Here is a 20,577-nt window from a genome sequence, read left to right as displayed (position 1 = left end):
AGTCACATGGCACATTCCAAGTGACAGGGACCTACAGCCATCTTTTATGAGCCACTCTCCCCCTCTCCCATAGTGGTGGTATTATCATTCTTCCATTTTGAAAATGGGAAAGCTGAGGCATAGAGAGATGATGTAGCTTGCTCAGCTATCAAATGGCAGAGCAGCCCATCAATAATTCAAATGCAGGACTAAGAACTCCAATACCATATTCTTTCCACTGCACTGTGCCCCCAAAGTTGTGATCTATGCTTTACATTTGATATTTTACTTACTTTCGTATTTGTCATGAGGCTAAGTATCCTCATTCAATGTAAGCAAATTAAATTGCAGCCTATTCAGCTTTCTCCCTAGGGCCATCCCCCAACCACAGACTAATCTGGATTTATATAGTTTTGCCTGTGGCCAATGCGTTTTTGAAGGGAAAGGAGTTTGGATATAGATGCAAATAAATAGATGTACAGATAGCCATTCATTTATTATAAATTGTAAGAGGAAGTCGGTGTGATCACTTCCTTCTCATTGGATAAGTGAGGTTCTAAAAATAGGTTTTCAACATTTGGAGAAAGTTTATTTGCCTGAATATGAGTACTAACATCTCTTCCCTCCCTAGAAAACAATTTTTAAGTTGGGCCCCTGCGAGTCAGCAAATTTCCATCTGGGGTCCATCTCTGTCACAATTACATCTTTTTATTCCAGAACAATTAGGATTGAGTGTAAAAACTGCACAATTAATAAGCAAAGATTTTGAATGACACAGAGTAGTAGAATGTTCTATTTTTGTATATTCCCGGAATCACAGATTTCATTTTGTGCTGAGCCTTATTTGTCTACAAAATCCAAAGCTCTGGAAAAACATACCTAAGGAGAGCAACTTCTCAGATTCTTGGCACTGTGAGACTACAAAAGCTCGGCATGTATGTGGTTGTTAGACCCCACGGAACGTGAAAAAGTAAGAGAGAATAAAACCTCCAATTTATGTAAAGTTTTAAATTAGACATCTCCTTTAGTTGTAAGATATATAACACAGCCAAAGCCTTAGAATATCTTGTTTTGTTGTTGAGTGTTGGTTCATGTTAGCCCTTTTAAATAGATAATTTATCTGTCCCCCCAGAAGCCTGGAGAGAGTATCATTTTCACTGTTTTATTTGAAAGGAAACTGGAAATCAGAAAAATTGAGTAGTAAATTCAATTCTAATGCTTATGTGGCCCAGTCTGGATTTGAATTTGTCTCTCTGATTCCAAGGTCTACGTGTCCATGTACACCATGCACACATGTACATACGGAGAAATAACAGGGCCATCTAGAATTCAAAGATGTTATCTCTCCCTACAAATTTGTGCAGTAGGGTAAGATCGAAGGAAATGAAAAAAAGAAAAGGGGAAGGATCAGATATTAATGGCAAATTAGTAAGAGGTTGGGGAAGGGAGGAATTGGGAGAAAACGACATTCCGTTGAATAGTGTATGTGAAGCTTATCACTCAGGGAATTTTCTCAATGTGAACATTTTAAACTATTTCTACACAGCCAGTGTTGCTTGTCAGCAGAGATATGAAAGGGATAAATATAACCCTTGGGGTTTCACAGCTTTGTACTTTGAAGAAATCAGCAATCCTTCTTCAGTTATCAAAACCCAGCATTTCTCATAGTGATGGATGCAGTATCCTTTGGAATTACTCAAGTGGAGGTAGCAAATGCTGGAATAAATTGGGGGTTTTTCAAAACTGAAAGCACAATTTCATGTGGTCCAACTCTTGCCCCTTATTTATCAGAGTACCTTCATCAGCACATTCACCTTGAATCACTTACCTTATTCTTCCCTCAGGTTGGCTGTATGCCCTCATTGGGTTGTTCTCTGTTGGAAGGGGCAGTTTCTAAACACACTCTTGTTGCGACTTCTACCCATTCATACTAGACATGATGTCCAGGCTACAGTAATGTTCTTCACTGATGGCTCTTCCAACTGTTCAGAACAACTTTCAGCATGAGTTGTTTTCTTAGCTCTCTATCTCTCCAGTACCAAAACCAGTTGATCTCCCACTCTTACAGGTTCAGTAATGTTCCCACTAGTAGACCAAGCATACCCCTGCTTCCTGGGACTATAAGATGTCCTAGGTTGGTGGCTGATATTATTTCAGCATTGATGTCAGTATCTCTCTGACCTTTTGTCTTACCTCCAAACATAGGAAAGAAAGGGTGGTGGTGGGCAAGACCTATGACACAGAAGAGGATTACAGATCATGTAGATTCCTATTCTTCAGCCAAGATTATTTCTGCCTGAAGGATGTTGTGGTCATTTGCTCTTGTTCTTGCCCTACTTAGAATATTGTTCCCCTAATACTTGGATGCCTCGGTCCGTCTTATCTCTTGGGTCCTAGGTCAAATATGACTTCCATAGAGAGGCACTTCCTGATCATCAAATTGAAAGTAGCCTCTGGCTCTCCAGGTCTACTCATCAATACCACCCTTCTTTATGTTCTTAGGGGTCTCATCACAATTTAGAATCATATTGTTTATTTGCTTTGTCTCCATCTCACTATAGATAAGCTTCCTGAGAAGAATAAATGTAATAAATGTATCTGTTTTTCAATGTTGAAGTATATTCAATTTGTTGAATAAGTAATATTGAATTAGTTCCCTAAATGGTTCTTGTGACCTTTCTTGTTTTTATATCTATTTTCTCACACATGAAAAATAAACATGATTATTATGTAATCACAGAATACATGGAACCATGACTTAGGGTCACAATTTTGAATAGCTGGTGTTGTATTATTTTGCAAATGTCATGATGTTAAAATGATAGCATTGGGCGGTACCTTCCCTAACAAAAAGTCATGGGTCTTGTTCTTTTATTACATTTTCCTACAGAATTACCTCACTTCTTTCTCAGTTGATTGACATGATGATTTTATTTATTCTTGACGTTCCTTTAAGAGGTTAACCTTGAGATAAGAGGGATCCTGTTTGCTGTTGCCCCCTACTTCTGTGCTTAGTGTGGGGCCTGGAATCTCTCCATATACTTCCGCATGCATGAGTGGATGTTGAAGAGAAGAACCCTAACATTTAGCCCATACCCTACTCCCAACTGGGTTTCTATCTTCAGCCAGGGCCCTTGCCTCAGTATTCTGTATCCTCATTTCATCCAAACCAGGCATTGATTGACCTTCTACCATGAACTTTGGAGAAGCCCTGTGCGTGGATGGATCTCCAGGACCTATAGCCCAAACGCCATGCTTTCGCCTGTACCTTCAGGAACTCTCCAGCCAGACTCTGGAAGATCACAAGCTCCATTCCCTTTCTTGGACATCCACATGTTGGCTGTTGCTGTGTCTCCCTAAAGCAGACAGCATGCCTGGTGAGGAGATTACTGCTGCTCTCTGCTGGACTCCATGCCACCAGCTCTTCTGCCTGATAAGATAATTCTGGACCGCAGTAGTTATGAGTAGTACTTCTTCTAAGGAAAGGCAATGTGAAGTTCCTGGCAAGTGCCAGCCACAGTGCTGTTCTGAAGAAATTCTCATTGGAACACCTTCAGTTACAAATTAAGAGATATAACTTTGTAATAGTGATACCTATAGATTGAGATAGGAAAATAAAACCATTTGAAATTCTCATCCCATTTTTTTTTAGACAGAGTTTCACTCTTGTTGCCCAGGCTGGAATGCAATGGCACGATGTTGGCTCACTGCAACCTCCACCTTCTGAGTTCAAGTGATTCTCCTGCCTCAGCCTCCCGAGTAGCTAGGATTACAGGCGTGTGTCACCACGCCTGGCTAATTTTTGTATTTTTTTTTAGTAAAGACAGGGTTTCACCATCTTGGCCAGGCTGGTCTCGAACACTTGACCTCATGATCCACCCACCTCGGCCTCCCAAAGTGCTGGCATTACAGGCATGAGCCACTGCACCCAGCCCTCTAAACTTTTTGATTGAGCCCCATCAGTAAGTGTTTTCTAAATATTACCTACATGTCTTTACTTGTAAGTTATATATAGGGATATTATAAAACATACCTAATATACATTTTAAAACTATGAAATCAAAATAAATTTTAAAAATTCGTCTAGCAAAATATCATCTTCCATGCTTCTGCACATGCCTTCCTCCGTAGCTCCACTTCTAGAGGGACAATCACACAGGAAGTTCAAGATGCATTTGTTCTGCTGCTCTTTGAAACCACTGTTTACACTTGTGTCACACTACAGTTCCTGATGTAGTGGAGAGGTGGTGACCCCAACCTATTTGTGGTGTGAGATTACAGAAGCATTTAGAGAAGCTGACAAGTTCAGGATACACAGCTTTAACACAGCAAAATGAAGTAAGTTTTGATGTTGTTTTTATTCAACAAATAGGGGGCAAACAAAATCTGGCTGAAAAAAAAAACAGAGTGAAAATGTGTGTCTTCATGATCTGTGAGACAGTTATCTGAAAGATTGCAGAAAACCATGGGGATATATACACATATAGGGCATGGCTTCCTGGTCATGAATAAGCAAGGCACGTTTCATTGGCAGCATGTGTTCAATAAAACCTTTGTGCACAGGCCAAAATTCAGCCTGCCAGTGATTTGCATGGATTGTGTCAGCCAATGTTATTAGCTAATTGTGTAGTTAACCTAGTGCAAGAATTTTATTGCAACAGTATATTTGGTACTTATATATCAGGAAGTTTTTGATACTCAGCCCCGCAAGCCTTTTGAACAGAGGAACTGGGTTTTTAAAAGCGTGTTTACAGTTAACTGGAATTATCACTGCCCTGTAAATTCAGTGTGGGGGAGCAGTCCATCAGCTTCGTTTTTAATTAGTTGTGGCAATTAGTTGGTATTTCCTTTTTTCTCCCAGGAAGAAATCATGAACAAAGATCCAATCTTTCATTCCAGTTCAGAAATGTGTCATTTTGCTCTTTGACCAAAATGCCTCCCAGCTGCCCTCTCCTGTCCTAAGCTCAAACAGATCTCAAACGGTTATGTTCAGTGATAGGAAGACATTCCTAGTCTGACATTCTGGTATTGGTGTTAGGCTAAATGCTCAGGATGGCATGAAATAGCCACTGAGAAATGAAAATGCCCCAGTGACAACACAAAGAAATATTCTATTATCTGAGGTAGCAACTGCAAAGGAATAAAATACTAGATCCACAAAATGTGTGCTTCATCAGGCTGCATGTGTTTGCCATTGCCCTCTGTGGTATGATCACAAAGGCAGGATTTCATTTCCCCCTAAATACTGTGCATATGATAATGGCTTTCAAAATTTCACAGCACGAGCCTATGATGGTCCAAGGCCAATAAGTTACTGTTGATAATTCAAGAGAGCTTGAGTTTAGCAAAAGTGACTAAAGAATTTTGAGTTGTACATAGCTCAGATGAGGCCACAAGTTTGACTGTGGCCTTCTACTATCTATATTTGTCCCACAAGACTGCAAAACTGAACCAGCTATTTTTTTAACAATTCAACTTTAGAAGGATATTTTCTGGTCAGACTTGACGTTCAAGGTGGTTCTGAAGCAGAATATATTTATGGAAATTGGTAAGTCATAACATTTTTGGCCTTCCTGCCATCTCAGGGTAAGGTTAAATAAATGCATTTGTTTTTCCCTCCTCAAGATGTATATTTAAAATCATGTAGAATATTTGTGGTCTATTTGAGAAAAATAAGCAATACCAGAACCTTATTTTGCCTAAGAAACAAAAGAAAAAAGAAAAGAAAAAATCCTATCATCAAGTAAGCTTAGAACTTAGCCAGGACAATTAGAAACTGACTTAGAAATATGTGAATCATTTCAACATCGCTTAAACATATAGAGGCGCTGAACATCGGAGTGACTGAAATAAATATCTTTACTCCTACATTTCTGTATTAATGTATAGAACAACATAACAATATATAAATAACATTAACTTATCATTGTAAGAATGTGGATTATGTTAGCATTTAAAATGTAAGAAATAAACCTAAATAGATTTATATCAACATATTATCATTGCAGAAATGTGTAAAGATAGAAAATTATAAAGACAATGAGTTACTCTTTATCCCACTACCTGCAGATAACCCTATTAGCTTTTCTCATACAAACTATAAAGACTTGTTTCCTAATATGTTTCTCACTATTGCAACATAAGCCCCTGAACATACTTCATTTTAATTGCTGCATGATATAGCATTACATGGATACACTGTAATTTATTTAATCAATACATGTATCTTTGTTATTTGATTTCATTAATTATGTTACAAGGAAAAGAATTTTAAATAACATCTCTTCTATCTATAATTTAAATATTCCATATGATAGACACCTAAAATTGTAATTATTTGGCCAAAGTGTACGGGGATTTTTAAGGTTTTTCATTAACAATGCTAAATTGTTTTCAACAACAAAATAATTTCGAGTGTAAGAAATAATTATTTGAGGAGGAGAGACTATAAAATATTCAAAATATTTGACCAATGGTTGTACTCACTAAAACTTTGACTAATAAAAACATGGAAAGTATGAGGAGAAAAAGAAAAAAAATGAAGAAAGCTGAAAGCATTTGAATTTCTAAACATTTACATTTATCAACTCAGTTTACAGTGAGTCTCTCTGTTTAAGATCCAGCATATTTGCTGACAAGTTAAAATAGCCAATCAAGAAACAAAGTCAAATGCTTTGTTAATGTTAGTTGATCACTCATTTTTAGTAAAAATACTTGGTTCTTGATCTTTATAAAATTGTGAATATGAGACTGTGATGAAAGCTATAGATTTTCTTTGAACAAGCACAAACACAGTATTTTACATCTGTTATCAGGGATCCACAGATCCCAAAGATGCTTATTCCATAGTCCCTTTAGTTGTTAGAGAATTTGGGTTAAGAAAACCTAAAAATAATTATTAGCTCATTTTCAAAACACTGTGAAAGAGAAACAAATGATGGCAACCTTTAAATGCCATATCCGAAGAGCTTACTACTTAGCATTCACAGAATCAAATGGCATTAGTGAGAAAACAAATTACAGAGATGTTTAGTCATGTGGGTCTACACATTTTGTAGGACACAGATTCCTTTGAGAGCTTGATGAAAGCAAGGGATATTTTTCCCAGAAGAAAATGTTTGCAGACACAATCAGCCACCATTTTGACATAGCATATCTGGGTTTAGGTGGTGAATTCAAGGATATTCTTAATCTTTTTCTCAGTGTCCACAGATTCCAGGCTCAGAACCATTGAACTCCAATCCCACCACAAACTAAATTTTACAGATGAAAAAGATAATGCAAAGGGTAGTTAAAAGATGTATTTCGGGCCAGGGTTGGTAGCTCATGCCTGTAATCCCAGCGCTTTGGGACAAGGAGGGTTGCTTGAGCTCAGGAGTTCAAAACCAGTCTAGGCAACATAGTGAGATCTCATCTCTAAAAAATAAAAAATAAAAATTTTAAGAACCAAAGTTAATAGTTTTTTTAAAAAGTATATCTACTCATAATAGGAGTTGCCAGTTACATTGGCATTATAATCCATATTTTCTTATCTTCCATTTAGTACCATTTCAGACCTATTTTACAGATCAGAAACTAAAATTCAAAGAGGGCAAATTGCTTACCATAATCATGTATTATGTGATAAACAGAGAACAAGAAAATGACATTTCCAGACTCTCGATATTATAGGTGTCTCCCTTCTCCCCACAAAAAAGAAAATACTTTTGTATTCAGGAATATCAACTTCAGGACTAGATCAGTTAACTACAGGTGATCAAGTTATTTATCTCAATTAAATAATGCGTTTTCACTGAGGTACTTTGTAATCAATTATAGAAGTTTCATCTTTAAGAGTTAAACAGATGTATTTATATACCTGGGTAATTCACTATGCAGATACTAACTTCTCAGGATGCTTATCCAATTAGCATTGGCAAATGTTTTCATTGAGAGCTTTCCTTTCCTCACAGTAAATTTTGACCCTTGCAGTTATGAAGTTGATAGTAATCAGCTGGTTTAATTTTGTTTATTTATTTATTTATTTTTAATAATAGAGAGGGGATCTCACTGTGTTGCCCAGGCTGGTCTCAAAATCCTGGGCTTAAATGATCCTTGCACCTCAGCCTCCCAGACTGCTGGGATTACAGGCATGAGCTTCCGTGTCTGGCCACAGCTGGTTTAATTTTTGAGTGTACAATGTCTACAACCAAGAAAGTTCTTTAAGTAAATCAAATACTGCTCCTTGAAATCCCCTCAGACCCACTAATTTGAAAAACATATGATGAGGAAATGTAAAAATGTCCTTGTTTTGATACAATCTTTTACATAATGTTAGTTTCCAATTTGGTGACCTGGTAGTCCTATACCACCAGTAGTCAGGATGTGCACCTTGCTGAAGATAATATATCAATAGGTATGTGGACAAACAGATCCACAAGCCATCACTTCTCATCAGCTGCTGGCTGTTTGATCACATCCTTGTTATCGGAACCATTGGAGGCAAGTGAATCAAAGGGTAACTGGCCACTGGGTTGTTGTTTCCTAGGCCTATTAGAAAACTAAATGTTGGCACTTATTAAATGAGTATTCTCTTGCATGTTCACTGCTGTGCAAATTTCTTATTTATAATCCCTGATTTTATTTTTCAAGAGAAGGCTGAATTCCAGCCTAGTGAGTCAGTACACAGAGAATCCATCACAACTGAGAACTATGTCAGGGGCATCCAGGGTTGAGAAGTCGGGGCACAGAGCACGGTGATCATCCCCAGCTGAGCCTGAGTTTTGTTTTCTTTGCACACATTCTACTCTTCTGCCAGATATATTTAAGGATTTTATTTTCATAAATGGCCGCTTTCTACTACTTATACTATGAAAACTGTGACTGTCCATACACCAAAGATAGCTTTTGTGTCCATTTCAGAACTAACATGAAATAGAGTGGAGAACGGTTTCTGAGAACTGTATCAGTAGTCAGCTATAGAAGGAGCAGAAGGGAGAAAATATTTGAGAACAAGGAATAAATTCTTAATTCCTCTCAGAATCTGTTCTTCTTGATATAAATTACCTGACCTGGCCATAGGTGTGTTTCATCAACATTATGCTTCTTTCTACAGAGATTATGGGTACAAACCATCCAATCCTACCTAGAATTGACCTCAATTAGGTGGGTAGATAATCAGACCACTCAGTAAGAGGGACACCATTTTGATCTAATATCGTGCTTAACTGGATTGTGTGATCTTTGGTGAACTTTTTGTGGTATATAGAAAGGGAAGAAAGACGATAATCTTACAGCTTGTCAGACATCCAGTTATCTAAGCTTATACAGAAAATGGAATGGGCAAAATCCAGTAGTCAAACCATCCAAGCTTTGAATCCTCCTGTAAATTTTTTATCCCCATCTAGCTTAAACTAACTCAATTGTTAAATGGAGATAGTGAGATTTTTCTGTTGGATTTTTGTGAGGCTTCAATGAGAAAACACATGGGGCCTGGCGCATAGTAGGTACTAAATAAATGACAGCTATTCCCAGCAATAGAATGAATGAGATTATAATTTTTTTAAGTTCGTATAAATTTCTGATATATGGCAGCCTGAAAAATGGAAAAATTGAGATAGCATACGTAAGTTCCAACAGACTTGATTCCCAAGAGAAATTTGAAGTCTTCCAAAGATCTGAGAGTTTTTCCCATTACTATTTATACCCATCAGCCTCCACTGAATATTGCAAGTTGGGGGATTAATGTGTAATTCCAGGGAAATCTCTAAAATGATGATGTTTAAAAAATTAGTTCTAAGAAGTACTCTCCACTCTATTTCAAGTAAGTTTTGAAGTGGATACAAAAGTTACTTTTGGTGTATGGACAATCAGAATTTTCATAACATGGATGACAGAAAATGGCCATTTAAGAAAATAGACCTTCCACATATGTATATCTAACAGAAAAGTAGAAAGTATACAAAGAAAAATTTGTAACATATCATCCCATTTCACTAGTTACTGCTGGTAACAATTTATTTTGGAGTAATCAGAAGACAATGCCACCTAATTTCTCTATTACAGAAGATAAGTTAATTACTTCATTTAATTTATTTCCAAAGAAAATTTTCTCCTTATTTTTCAACTAAAAATACTAATATATATATTTTTGAGAGAATATTTTCCATTTCAATAACAGCCTAGAGTGATTTAAGCCAGAACTCAAACACAATGATTCATTTGAGCTTAGCAACTTTCCATACAATAATACTTGATATACATATTTTAGTTGTTCTGATACTACTGTGTGAACACGTATATATTTCCAAATTCTAATATAATAACTATAAAACATGATTCAGGCCATATGCTTGAATGGTTAAGCAGCTGCTTAATCCATTTCTTTAAAAAATACATACATAAAATAATTGGGGCATAGGTTTGTGGAGGCCTGTATACACTTCATTAAAAAAAATTAAAATAGCCAGGGGACCCCTGAAAGAAGGACTTTGTAATACCCCCAAGTGATCCAGGTCACCTTAGTATTTGCCCTCTCCAGCCTTGGGCTGGAAACCCTGGGCAATAAAGCTGGCTCCCAGTATGATTTTAGAGCTTGTATGCCCAATTAACTGAATTTCTCCACCTGTTGGTGAGGTTGCTGGTCTAGGCATCATGAATATGCACAGTTCTCATGAAGCAGAGAACAGAAACAATGAACTGAGTAATTCAACAAAATCGAGTGGCAACCTTGTCTCCCCTACCACCCATTCTAATTTATCAGTTCACTTATGTAAAGCCTGTCAAACAGTTGAGTCTAATCCAAACTTGGAATTGCAGAAATCACTTCTATGCAAACAAATGTTTATGCCATCACCATCATCATCATCATCCAGGTCCACAGCATCATTATATTAGGGTTCTCCAGAGAAACAGAACCAATAGGATGGATGAATGAAAGATAGATATAGATAGATAGATAGGTAGATAGATAGATAGATAGATAGATAGATAGATAGATAGATAGATAGATAGATGGATATGTCAAAATAGATTTGGTATTGGAATTGGCTAATACGGTTATGGAAGCTGAGAAGTCCCATGGCCGGCTGTCTTCAAGCTGCAGAACCGGCAAAGCCAGTGGTTTAATTCAGTCTGAATACAAAAACTTCAGAACCAGGGAAGCCAGTGCTGTAACTCTCAGTCTGAGACTGAAGGCCTAAGACCCTGGGGAGCTGCTGGTATAAGTTCTTGAGTGTGAAGGCCCAAGAACCTGGAGTCCTGATGTCCAAGGGGAGCAGAAGAAGGATGTCCCAGCTCCAGGAGAGAGAACAAATTCGCTTTATTCTTTCTATTCTATTGTGCCCCTCAATGGATAGGATAGTGCATATTCATATTGAATGAGGGTGAATCTTCCTGACTCAGTCCATTGATTCAAATGCCAATCACTTCTAGAAATTCACAGACATATCCAGAAATAATGTTTTACCAGCTATCTGAGTACCCCTTAACTAAGGCAAATTGACATCTAAAATTAACCATCACAATCATCATCCTGATTATCTGGATACCACATGCCAGGAATTGTGCTAGCTCTTCCCATACATTACACAAATTAGGTCTCCAAGCCTCAGTATAAGGTAAGGATCCCCATTACAACTAAGAAGAAACGGACATTCAGAAAGATCCTTTTTGTATTTGATAGTCTAGTACAAGATAGAGATATCATTGCCCTTTTCATGCAAATTTATTTTGTTTCATTTTGCCACTTGCTTCATGAACATGTATAGAGTGCATTCCACCTACCAGCCACAGTGAGGTCCTGTAGAAAAAGGATTCACTCTGTAATCCACTGAATGAGGTTTAAGTCCCAGATCTTGTAATTATGCACCTAGAGATTGATTTGAAGCATGCAGCTGCTTAACCATTCTGAGTTTTATATCTTCCATTTAAATATGAGGAAACTCATACCTACTTTATAATAAACACGTCATGACTTAAAAAAGGCAGGTGTTCCGTTAATCAGTCTTGTTATTATTTTACTTTCTTGTGACCGAGAATTCAGCTATCTTTTTAAAAGAAGAGAAATGGCTGTTGACTATCTTAAGAACTTTTACAAAATATAGCCAATTTTTAATTCCTTGCTTAAAAACAATAGACAGATCCCCTATGGTAACGTCGAACGAGCTTGTCTCAAAATTCATCAACCCAGTGACTTCAGGATGTCCCAGTTCAAAGGACACCAGAAGTCACCGCTCTGACTTGTCCTCTGGGTCAGAGCAGAAATTCTGCCCCCTCTGTACCCCCACACACTCCCCAGGGCCTGGTTAGAATCCCAGGGGCCAGTTCATGCCACTTCACCATAAATCTTCCCATTTCTGAAAACAAGGAAAAAAATATCATCAGAATTTGTCTCCCCAAGGGAAGAAGTAAGAAGTCCAGTTGTAGGTCTTTTGCCTTTTAAAGTGCAAAAAATGCATAGTTTTTTGAGAATATGTTTTTGCCAATTTGTACTTGGAAAGGCATAAATGTATAAAAAGGGAATTTCCTTTTCTCTGAATAATTAGGAGGAAAAAATGTAGCTTTCAGACAGGGCACATCTGCTTCAGTTTTTCAGTTGTGTATTTAAAGGAAAGGCTGCCAAAAGAAACCAATTCTTTTTGTGCACCCACTATATGCTGGAGTCCTTATTCACTGTGTTATATATAAACGTTACACACAATCTTGTATGAGAGGTATTATTATAATTTCCATGTTATAACAACAACAACAGTTTATTTATGTTTATTTGTATTGTATTGGTAATAATTTTACTTGGAAATGAATATATTTGTATTTATTTGTAACTCAGACTTACAAGAAAGCATTTGATATGGCTCGCTCCTATTTGAAGGATGAAGAAACTCAAAGAAGCTGAACGCCTTTTCTTGTCAGACAGTAAATGCCCATGTAAATGTTATAGCCACTTTTGGGGTCTGGGGTCCATCTTCCCACAGTGAAATACTTCCTTGTCAGTGGGTGTCCAGCTTGTTCAAATTTTCTATCTGTTCCCTTAATTCAGAAAGCATGTTGGATGCTAAATAAATTTGGGGTGATTTACTATACATGTTACTTGCACATTTATAGTGCGTCTTGCAAACAAGATTTGCACTGATAACTGGATTCAGTAGAATAAATGAGGAAGGGAATGCTGAATTTACTGCAGGTTAAGTAGACCACCATAGAACCTGGCATTTCAGCACTGGATGGGGTTTTCAGGCACAAGAGGTCCAATTCATTTCACCTTTGGTTATTTCTGATTTAAAAGTTATTTAACATTTCAAACATGGTTAAATATTGCTGTAAAATGCATTGTTTTACTCTTTTGTATTATAGTGAATATTATCTGATATTTCTTTGCTAATCCAGGATCTAAGAGTTACTCAGCACCAAGTACCTGGGATCCACTCAAAGATTAGTCCCAACTCCTCTCCTTACGTCTTTCTCCATAGCCATACCACTTACACTTACAGAAGCAGAATGCTCTTCCCCGACCCCTTGACTTTGGACTTGGCTGCATGACTTCCTTGAAAGTTAAGAAGTTGTTCACAAGCAAGGGATTGATATGTTTTTGTGCCACTGGGCTTGCCTGCTTGCACCTCTGCCTTTCACCATAATAATTTTCTCCAGGTTGCTTCTGCCTGAGCCCCAAAGGGATTAGACATGGAGCAGACCAGAGTGCCAGCCATAAAAAGAGGGGAAAGCCAAGCCTAGCTGGATCCAATGCATGAAGCAGAGCAGCCCAGCTGAGCCCCACCTACATCAGCTGACTCTTAGCTGAACTACAGACACTAACGAAGTAAATGTATTGTATCCTCAGAATTTATCACAGTAATAGATGATGGATGCTGCTAATGAATATTTTTTTGATAGTAAAGTAGTACAGCCATAAAATGTATAACCATGGCTGAGCCTAAAGTTTCTAAATGTAAGAATTGGCTGGGCTCAGTGGCTGACGCCTGAAATCCCAGCACTTTGGGAGGCCAAGGTGGGCAGATCACGAGGTCAGGAGATCGAGACCATCCTGGCAAACATGGTGAAACCCCATCTCTACTAAAAATACAAAAAATTAGCTGGGTGTGGTGGCCTGTGCCTGAAATCCCAGCAACTCAGCAGGCTGAGGCAGGAGAATCGCTTGAACCCAGGAGGCGGAGGTTGCAGTGAGCTGAGATTACACCACTGCACTCCAGCCTGGGCAACAGAGCAAGACTCCATCTCAATAATAATAATAATAATAATAATAATAATAATAATAATAATAATAAATAAATGTAAGAATCATTTTAAATGAACAAATTCAAGGATATCTGCAATTTTTTTCCCATAGAAATTAAACCCCATTTAAAATAAGACTTAAAGAATAAGACTTTTGGCTGAAGAGGTGAATGGAGATCACCAACAACCACCTTCCCCTGTCATTATTATATTGTCCATCCAAGTACTGACAAATGTATCTCAGTTGTTTATTAATTTATCTGACAAATGCTGTTAAGTGCTAGCAGTTACTAGGTGTTTTGGGATGAGCAGCCCAGGTACTGGAGTGAATGAATGCACAGTTTAAAAGAGAGACAGAATTTTGAGATGGCTTTTAAATAATTATAGGTAAAATGAGCTGTGTAGTTATTGCAAACCAAGTACTGATCTCTACATTTTATATGAATTGTCTCATTTAATCTTCTAAACCCTAGGAACTGAGCTAATACTATTTTCATTTTTCAGAAAAGGAAATGGAGACCCAAGAAGGTTAAATGACTTGTCCTATGTCAGGTATCCTGTAAATGATAGTGGCTGGATTTGAACGTATACAGTCTTATTCCCCAGCCTAAGCTCCTCACCAGTATACCACAGCTCTAGATTAGGTTACACCTGGCCAATTCTTAAACAATAAATGTCAAGGACTGCAGTAAATAGCCAAGTTCTTGGGGTGGCCCCAGGTGGATACAATTAGCTGGTCAAATTCAGCATCCATGGGGCTGCAGTTACCCTAGTTTGATTCACGCTAATGCTGATTTTACAGGGGCCCAAAGACCTCTCTTTTTGAGGATAATGCAGAATGGTGTCAACTACTAGCCTTCTTATGTCTCCTTGCTTGTCACAGAGAACTTTGAGTCATACACTTTCCACCACTCATTTCACTTTTATCCTAGACAACTTCGATGTCCATAAGAATGACACAGTCAGTATCCTGATTCATAGGTCTTGACCTCAACTCCAATAACATTTATCTCTATTCCATCGACACCATGTGATGACCTTAACCTTGACTTCATCGCTATCAGGAATTGCGCTCCCCATTAAAACTTAACTAGCCCATTCTCTAATCACAGACTCTGGTCCTTAGAGCTTTCCAGATTTTCCATTTCTATTACATTTAACATAATATCAAGGTTCTTCAGTATCTTAATTTCTTGAGTTTCTTCTAGTCTATCCAAACTTTCTTCACTTACTTCCATATTTAGCCTGGCTAATAAGGTGCATTTCCTCTAAATGTCTGGCCTACCCAGGACTCCTGATAGACATACCCATCTCACCGGGTCACTTCAATTTCCTGCTTCATCCCTTCTTACCAACAGACTTCCCTGTCCCACTACGAATTCATGATTCTTAAACCCACCTAGATTCTATACCACTCAAGTACCCACGTATGTGTGCTGAGTCATTTCTCCCTTCTTAACAGCAATTATTCCAAAGAGTTCTAAGTGTTATGGGCCAAATTGTGTCCTCCAAAATTAATAGGTTGATGTCCCAAACCCCAATACCTCAAAATGTGACTGTATTTTGAGATAGGGCTTTTGAAGAGGTAATTAAATTAAAATGAAGTCATTAGGGTGAGTACTAATCCAATACAACTGATATCGTTATGAGAAGGGATGAGAACACAGACACACACACAGAGGGAAGACCAAGTGAGGACACAGGGGGAAGGCAGCCATTTACAAGCCAGGAGAGGCTAACCCTACTGACAGCTTCTTCTCAGACTTGTAGCCTCCGGAATAGTGAGAAAATACATTTCTATTTTTTAAGCCATCCAATCTGGGCACCCCTAGCAAAAGGATACAATCAGTCTCTTCAAATCTTCATTTCCTTCTCGCTTTTCTTGTAGCAAGAAACCTCATCTCCTGATTTTTAAAGAAAATAGGAGATTCCAGGATTGAACTCTAACTGCTTGCTGTCATACCTACCAAAGAGGAACTTCTACCTTTGCCCAAAGCAGATGCTCCATTTCCTCTTTGGAACCTATGTCTTCTGGTCTTGTTGAAGGTACATTCTCCTTCATTCTAGACATTCCCCTCTTTGCTAGTTCTTTTCTTTCCAACCTAGAAATATGCTAAGGTTACGACTATTCGTTTTTTGTTTTTTTGTTTTGTTTTTGAGACAGAGTCTCATTCTGTTGCCCAGGCTGGAGTGCAGTGGCGCGATCTCGGCTCACTGCAACCTCTGCTACCTGGGTTCAAGCGAGTCTCCTGCTTCAGCCTACCGAGAAGCTGGGACTACAGGCGTGCACCACCACACCCAGCTAATTTTTGTATTTTTAGTAGAGATGGGGTTTCACCATGTTGGCCAGGCTGGTCTCGAACTTTTGACCTCATGATCCGCCCGCCTTGGCCTCCCAAAGGGGTGGGATTACAGCTGTGAGCCACTACCCCGTGCCACGACTATTCGTTTTAAATGATGTTAATAAAATCCTGTGGTACCATAAAAATCATTACAAATTTTCTTTCCCTTCATAGTTAAAATTCTTGAAAACTGTCAACATTTCCTCAGTCCTCTGTCAGTTCTCAACCCATTGAATTTGACCAGCTATGGCACTAATGCATGGAAACTGCTCTGACCAAGTGGCAGCCAACTTCCTGATCCAAATGCATTGGGGACTTTTCAATGCCAGTCTTATTTGACAGCTCTCTTGTTATCCAATTCTCATCCATTTGTTATTCTCCTTGGTCTTTCCCTTTGCTTTTTTCTTTCAACCTTTGACCTGTTCTTTTACCACCTATTTCTTAGATTCCTCCTCCCTATTTTTTTTAATCTGTTGATGTTCCAGTGGATTCTGTCTCTCTTCTTCATTTTTCTTTTTCTTTTTTCTACTAACCTTTATTTTATTCTTTACTAGGATTTCAACTTCTTGGAGTCATCATTATGATGACTTTTTACATTTTATTTTTATTTTTTGCAGCAAGTATAGTGTAATGGTTAAGAACACAGACTCAGGACTCAAACTATCAGGTTTATCTTGTGGCTGTATTACTTCCTAGCCAGCAATAACCATGGAAAAGTCACTTAATCTCTCTATTTGAAATTTTCTCATCTGTACAATGGGTGTAATTTGGTTGTTTTGAGTACTAAATGAGTTAAAATATGTAAAAAACTTACAAATGTCTGGTACCTTACAACCACTGTCCAGAAATCCAATTCTGTATTTAAGACCGCTTGCCATTGCGAATATCCCAATATTTTACCTAAAGCTGAACTCTTCTTAATATAAAACCTTTCCTTCTGGTTGCTTTATCTGAGAGATTTTTATCACTGTTTGCCAGGATGAAGGCAGAACGTGATTGTCTGCCAAGACTTTTTCCTCTCCTTTCTCTCCATCTTTCAACAGTTACCAAGCCATGTTCATTTTAATATTGAATTTCCCTCCTTATCTGTCTCCTACCTTGCATCCCTATAGATGCTGTAAAGCAGGTCCACATTTTTGAGACATGTGTGTTGTGTACATTGGAGAAGCGGGGTCTGGACTATTGCAACAAATCTCCCTGTGACTAGCTGCAACCTTCTAGTACACTATTCACTTGACACTCCGAGTATGTCTTTAAAAAACAAACACATTTGTGTCATACCTTCAACAGCTTGTATGTATTGACTATACTTTCAGCATGGTTTTCAAGCCCCTCCTTTAATTATACACTGTTCTCTCCTTTCCAGCTTAAACTCCTACCACTGCCCCATTGTTCAGTCAAACTCAACTACTTGCTATTGTTGATTCATGCTATCTTTCAAATCCCTTTTTTTCCTACCCGCAATGCAGGTTCCAATTAGGGGCTTTTAAATACTGAGTTTAACTAAAAAAGCTTTAAATATGTAAAATAAAAGTAAGTTCAAATAAAGGGAAGACAAATTTATTAAAACTCTCATGAAGAATTAAACAAGCTAACCATATCATGTCAAACGTCTTTCTGCTATCTTATAATCTTTTCATTAATTTTTCCCCATTTTACAAATAGCTTCTGTTGAAAACATATCTTCCTTTCCCTCTCTTCTTAGAGGTATATTCACATTTATTTTTCCATTTGGCAACCTTTCTCCCAATTATATTTTAAAACACCTTGAGTTTGGATATTGCAATAATGAATCCAATTTGGTAAAAAAAAAAATCACTAATAGATTGATTTCTTCAAAATATAACAATGGGGCCAGGCACGGTGGCTCATGCCTGTAATCCCAGCACTTTGGGAGGCCGAGGTGAATGAATCACCCGAGGTCAGGAGTTTGAGACCAGCCTGACCAACATGGTGAAACCCTACCTCTACTAAAAATACAAAAATTATCTGGGCATTGTGGTGGGCGCCTGTAATCACAGCTACTCGGGAGGCTGAGGCAGGAGAATCACTTGAACACGGGAGGCAGAAGTTGCAATGAGCCAATATCCTGCCACTGCACTCCAGCCTGGGTGACAGAGCAAGACTCCATCTCAAAAAATATAAACAAATAAAAATAAAAATAATATAACAATGGATAGTACCATTATGGTGACTTTCATATTTTTCTGTGTGAGTGTATGTATGCATTTACATTTTACAAATTTTCTGTCCTATATATTTATCACATTTTTAATAAGAAAAAATATGTCTAAAATGAAAGAAATTGCCAAGCAGTATACAATTTATAACATGTATTGGAATCTACATGCATGTTCTCTTAGCATAAAACACTTGCAGTTAAGTATTGCTCAATGCAAATGTGAAGACACCTGCCAGTTGAATGGTACCTTAATATAAACCTCCTGGGGATTTGCTGTATTCTTGCCAGATGTAACTTTCAAATTTTCCCTCCAGCCTATATAGCACAATCATTGATGAAACACAGCAGAATCAACCATACGACTTTGGAACTGTCTCAGAATCAGTGTTGATAGAAATATGTTTGACTTAACTCTTTTTAACAAGATTTGAGGAATCTTCCCACATCTCAGTGTGCGTAATTGTAAGGTTTTCATTCTTGGCTGCAAACACACAGGATTTCTCTGTCTTTTCTTTCTTAATCAGTTCCCTGGCTTTGTCTCCACATCTCCCTATTTTTCTCTATGAATACTACTGCTTTGTTTATAGTATAGGTGACAAGACACAAACCAGGGTTTGGAAAGAGTGAGTGTGAAGGGGCTGACTTCAAGTTGCCATTTCAGAAACGTGCTATAACTTCAACATTTGCATCTGGCATTTTGTAGCCTGTAGCCCCCTCATCATATGCTATGTGTGAATTCCAGTCGGATGATTCATTCTGACATGGGAGTTCTTTGCCTCTTTTACTCTACAAAAATGTGAGAGAATGAGAGAGAAGGGTCTCATTCCTTCTAATTTTTCTAAGCAATCTTTATTTTTCCCATAGCTGGGAAAGAGATTTTCCGATGAGAAATGTTGCAGTTATGACTAACAATTCCATGTTTCACAACCGAACTCACTCTTCTTGTTGCTCTTTTTTTTCCGATTTCTCACAATTCAAAGTAAAGTGTGAGATTACTAGTACAATTAAGACTCTGGAAAAAGGAAAACTGCATATTATGGCCTTGATAACCCTTCATGGAGAACAAGGTGCTCCTCTGCCACAGATGCCAATTTTAGAGTTGGATTCAACAATAATAGTGAATAGAAGAAACGCAGGAAAGCAGATACGTGTTTTAAAATCATCCACAACCAGCAATGTTTATCTAGAAACATTAGGCTCTGGCAAGATGTCTTTCATCTCCCCCTTGCATGTATTCCAGTTTGGGCAGGATAGCCTTATCTATTATCTAAGTACTTTTATAACCTTCTTTTGGAAAGGTCTCCCTGGTCACACGTACCTTAAGCTAGAGAGGAAGGCAGCTGATTGCCTATTTTTTTAACTGAAATAGTTTCTGTAGAACAATGCAAATTATATTTATACCATTGCTTGCAAAGATTAAGATAAATGAAGTTGTCACATCCACTGAGATGAACGTTGAAAGTTTCTCTGTTTAGGGAGCAATGCACATATTTCATCATACAGATAAAGCAATGTACAAGAAGTAAAAGTAAAATTGCTAACACATGATCTATCCAGAATTAATTATTTTGAGTTAACATACCAGTATTTGCTATGTAACAGTCTGATACTAAGAAAGTACATAAAAGTCATGAAAATTGTGTCATCCTTAACTTGCAGAGATGCCGTAATAGATAAATATCACTAGGAAGCTTCCACACACAACATATTACCTGTTTCTCCTAATATATTTTTTCAAATCCATAACCTATATTTCCCTTCATTTCTATTGTTGTTAGATTAGAACTTTGCTATTTATTAATAGTCCTCTATTTTGTCTTCCTGCCTCCAGACAAACTACTTCAGCTCTTTTACAATCATCTA

This window comes from Homo sapiens, chromosome 15 (assembly GCF_000001405.40).
Source record: "Homo sapiens chromosome 15, GRCh38.p14 Primary Assembly".
Classification (NCBI taxonomy): Eukaryota; Metazoa; Chordata; class Mammalia; order Primates; family Hominidae; genus Homo; species Homo sapiens.
This window is presented reverse-complemented; position numbering follows the sequence as displayed.